Below are 5,042 nucleotides of genomic sequence, written 5' to 3'. Positions count from 1 at the left end.
CTGTTTGGGGTATTGTAGCCTTATAGTATAATTTGAAGTCAGGTAATGTGATACCTCTGCTTTGTTTTTGCTTAGGATTGCTTCCAATATTAGGGTTCCTTTTTGGTTCCATATGAACTTTGGAATAGTTTTTTCTAGTTCTGTAAAAAAAATTATGTTTGAATCTATAGATTGCTTTGGGCAGTATGGCCATTTTAATAATATTGATTCTAATTCGTGAGCATGGAATGTTTGTCCATTTGTTTGTGTCGTCTATGATTTCTTTCAACAGTTTTCTGCAGTTTTCCTTGTAGAGATCTCATTTCCTTAATTAAATGTATTCCTGGAGTTGTTTGTGTGGGGTGGGGGGGGCTACTGTAAATAAGATTGCTTTCTTGATTTGGCTCAGCTTAAACGTTATTGGTGTGTAGAAATGCTACTGATTTTTGTACATTAATTTTGTATCCTGAAACTTTATTAAAGTTGTTTAACTGTTCCAGGAGTTCTTTGGCAGAGTCTTTAGGGTTTTCCAGGTATAGAATCATATCGTCGTCAGAGGAAAGATAGTTTGATTTATTCTTTTCCTATTTGGATGTCTTATTTCTTTCTCTTGCCTGATTGTCCTGGCTAGGACTTCCAGTACTATGTTGAATAGGAGTGATGAGAGTGGGCATTCCTTGTCTTGTTCCAGTTCTCAAAGAATGCTTCCAGTTTTTGCCTGTGGTCTTCAGCTATTCTAACAGAATATCAATTCAGCATTAAATTATGTGTTTCACATTTATCATAAGTATTAAAATTTTTTAAATCTAATTTCAAACTAGACATTTCTACAACTTGAAGGAAATACTTCCTTAAGATACTGTAAGTTGAAAAATGTATTAAGTCTTTTAAGATTTTTATACGTTAAGTCAATTTATTTCTGCCATATTCCCATTCTGGCCTCAGATGTTGCCAGAGGCTTGTCCAAAAACAAAATATTTTCAAACAAAAATAAAGACCTCTCAACTAAGTTTCAAAACTGCCAAAATTTCAGAGTTGAAATAAATGCTAGGGATTAGAGAAAAATCCAAGGAATAATGGTTTAATGAAATTTAAAAATCTTTAGTATTTACTACTCTATATATGAAGTAGCAATATCATCACAGTAGACTTTATGGTTTGATTTATAAATTTACTTTGGCCTTTTCCCCCCATAATAAAACTACTATTGAGAAAACTAAGTATAGGGCAACTAGCTTCATTAAAGCTGAATAAACTTCCTTATCTATATTTCTCAATAATTCACTTCTTGGTGTTTGGTGCATATGCAAAATCAGGAGCTAGCTCCATAAAAATTAGTCCTATATGATAGCTCTAAGAGCTAAAGATGTTCTTTCAGAGGCTGAATATCTATAGAAATTTCACCATTCAGCTTATGTTGTATTTTCCTAGCTGTAAATAAAGAAGCATATTGTCTATGACATAAAAGCAAAAAGAACCATATTTTTTTATTATCAGTATAATTTTCTGTCAATCCTACAAATGTTAGGAAATGGTCAACATTTTAATTATCTTAAAGATTTGCATACATACTGGTGTCTTTTTAAGAGTAATACAGAACTAATGGTCAAAATGTTCACAGAATTCTTCTCTGAAATCCATGTTTCCTATTAGTTCTCAAAAGGCACATTAGATTAGACCATAAAGCTTTTTCCAGAGTCAAACTAAACTAGAAAATAGGATCCCAGAGAGTAAGGATATAACAAGCAAACTATCTCTATTTGTGCCAAAATGAATTGAAAAAGTTTAGATTATTAGCCTCATTTGAACTACTTTAAAACAGACAAACAACAAAAGTATATTTTAGGCAAGAGTAATCAACCTTAATAAACTTCAAGCCATTTTGAATTTTATTATCTTATTCTTGTCTTGTAGATTATGCTATATTTTTTCATAAGTTGTCATGTTTGAAAGGAGAAAAGGAAACTAACATCATGTTTCAGCAAAGTGCCAAAACTGAATTCTCATTTAACACAACTTTCCAGCAAGGGATACATTACTTTCCAGAAATTTCTGATGAGGGACTTCACATTTAAAATCTTGGTGCTATACTATTTTTTGATGTGACTAAAAAGGCTGACCTGGGAGCAACAATCTTTCCATAGTATATTTCTGAACTCTGTGTGGAAAAAATGCCTGAACCAAGCTATTAATTCAAACTTTAAAAGCCATGGCATTCACTGACAAGAGCTTACCATTCAAATGTCTATTGACTACCCACAGAGGCCCTGGTTGGGAACCGGAACAAAGGTAACACACGGTCGCAGCCCTTAAGGGGCTTGTAAGTTAGGACATGTGCATAAGCTTAAGACTTATGCACTTGACTTAGGTTACCATAAACATGTGTCCCCAGGAATGTTCTTTCTAACCCAAATTTCTCCCAAGTGCTAACTACAGATAACTAGAGCAAAATCTCAGACTTACTACTGGTTTTTAATATTTCCTTCTAGATCTCTTACATATCACTATAAACTGCCTCTCTTTGAGCCCTGTGCTGTTCCTTAGTGGTTGCAGGGACTTAGATCTCTTTCCCAATTACTGGGTGATGGGGTCCAGTTATATGAAATCAAGGCTTTCTGAACTAACTACAAAAAAGCTTAGTGCTGCTGCTGGTGTTATACACAACTTAGATATAATACTGTAATGGTGGTTGTGTGGTATCATTTGAGGACTACCACAATAGCTTATTCTCTAGTTCTCAGAATTCCTCAATTTGCTTTTAACAGTGCCTGCAACTGCAATTGTAGTCATGCTTTTTAGTAGGCCTAGAACAGAGATGATGAATACCTGTTCTTTCCCCCTGTGCCACAGCAGGCATTATTCATTACAGCACTCCCTCCAGGTGAGGATTCCACCCTTAGAGGACTTCCCATTATAGCATTACACCCATCTATTGAAGGAGGTTCCTAGATATATCCTAAAGGTGGAGATTGTCACCTACAGACCAGCCCTGGCTGAAAAACCCATGTTAAAATGTAAATCTTGAAATCCAAAAGGGAATTGCCATAAAAGACCCCAAATGAGGGCAGTGTTGCCAATGAGAGAAACAGGGCATTACCCTAGTTCACTCCAGACTGGCACAAATAAGCAGAGATCTGAAACTCATTTTCTGACCAGGTCTATGTTTTCCTCAGGACACTGGAACTCCAATCTTGTAGCTCAGGAACTTGATGTGAGGACTGGTCCTAAGGGCAGTTTTGAGGGGCAAAGGTCAGCCCTCCTTCAATTCCAGAGAGCGCAATGGGAGTCAGCACAAGGAGTGCTGGGGGTCCCACTCGGGGAAGGCAATGAAAGAGATCTCATTTGCCATAACAATTAAGTAATGCATTATGATACCGCCTCTGGCTCTAAACAGCCCCCAATCTCATTCTCCCCCCTCACCGTCTAGGCAAAACAACCTTTAATCCATCAAAATAAAAAAGTTTTAAGTGTAAAATTTTCTCCTCTTCTTTGTTTGGAAGTAAAACTTTCATTAGAAAGTCATACAATCTCACTAGAACCAATTGCAATTCCCACTAATAGACATCTCCACGTAAGGATAAACACTAGCATATGAAAAGCTTCATTAAATGAAAATCAAAACTCTGCCTTTTTGACCACATCTCATTTACACTCTGTTCCAGGAACTTTGAACATAGCATACATGTCTCCCACCATGATTCCTTTGTAGACGGCTCTTTCTGTAGCTATCCACATGGCCCACTGCCTCACCTCCTCTATGCCTTTGTTCAAGTAAACTTCTCAAAAGAAGCCTTCCTTGAAAGGCTATCTAAAATTATAATCTCCCACTGCCTCCCCGCCTGGCACCTCCAATGCCCTCTTATCCTGCTTTGTTTTGTGACATTATATTAAACTGTAATATTATGTTATTGTACAGGAAACAGTTGACAAAGAAGACCTGATACTGTCCTTCAGAAAGACTTGCTTGGTGGGGGCTAACCCTTGGCTGAGCCTAGGAACTTGAATTTTTGAATGCTGTTTTACTAACTGACAAGGCTGCTTTGTGAGCCTGAGGCACTGAGCAACGTTTGCCTGAGCTGTTTGTAAAAACAATGATTTGTGGTGAACATCTACTTTCCTTCAGGGAGTCTGGAATCTCAGTAATTGTGGCTGGTTGCACAGGCAAAGAATGCCTACATAATGAGCCCCTAATAAAAACTCTGCACTCAGTCTCAAGTGGGATTATCTGGGAGGAAACAATGCCACCCAGCATGCGTTGCTACATTTCATTGCTACAGCAGGAAGTGGGTCCTGTGTAACACCTTGTACCTCCCACCTATTCTACCCCTCCCACTAGGCAACCCCTGGGGGAGAGAATGTTGGGAGGCTGTGTCTGAACTCCTACAGGGTCTGACTGTTGTCTTTTCTTCTTGCAGATCCTGATATGAATCCATAGCTGTGAATAGAATTACCTCTGTGTCCTCTGAGTCTTCCAAGCAAGAGAAACTTGAGTGATCATGGAACCCTCAAAAAAAATATGTTCATTGTTCATCATGTTTCTTTCCCTATTAGAATATAAGCTCCTCAGGGCAGGGATTTAAGACTATCTTTAGTTCACTGACGTATCCCCAGTGCCTAGAGCAATACTTCACATAATAGGTATTCAGTAAATATTTGAATGGATGAGGAATAAAGCACATATTCTCCATTCATAATTTAAAAAAATCAATGTTCCCGAAGCTATTTAAGGGGATATTTCATCTACAATAGGAACACACATTCTGCTATCAAGAAAAGCTGCTTTTAAATGAAAGGCAAGAGCTGAATTACAAATATTATGGTGACAGTAAAAAGCAGATTGCACATTGCAGAAATGCCACAAACGAGAATGAGATCATTTGAAGAAATTCTCTTTAAACAAAGAATAATGAGATAAAAAAGATTTTGACAATGTTTAACTATCAAAATCACAAGAATCCAAGGAGAGATCCAGTTACCTACACTATACATAGTAGGCTCACAGTAATTGTTGAATGAATTGAAATAGAAAAAAAAATAAAGTTGGTATTAATATCTCCTCAAAT

General features: G+C 37.0%; 1 annotated feature.

The window, feature by feature from the left end:
- Positions 1,969–2,534: an enhancer, noted in NCBI's record as "OCT4-NANOG hESC enhancer chr2:180936454-180937019 (GRCh37/hg19 assembly coordinates)". NCBI's record gives its function as "activates a minimal SCP1, AML or CMV promoter by ChIP-STARR-seq in primed H9 embryonic stem cells {active_cell/tissue: H9 hESC(primed)}" and the evidence as "EXISTENCE:reporter gene assay evidence [ECO:0000049][PMID:30033119]".

Source organism: Homo sapiens, chromosome 2 (assembly GCF_000001405.40).
Source record: "Homo sapiens chromosome 2, GRCh38.p14 Primary Assembly".
In the NCBI taxonomy this organism is placed as follows: domain Eukaryota; kingdom Metazoa; phylum Chordata; class Mammalia; order Primates; family Hominidae; genus Homo; species Homo sapiens.
The sequence above is the reverse complement of the archived record's forward strand: the minus strand, read 5'-3'. Positions and strand labels throughout refer to the sequence as shown.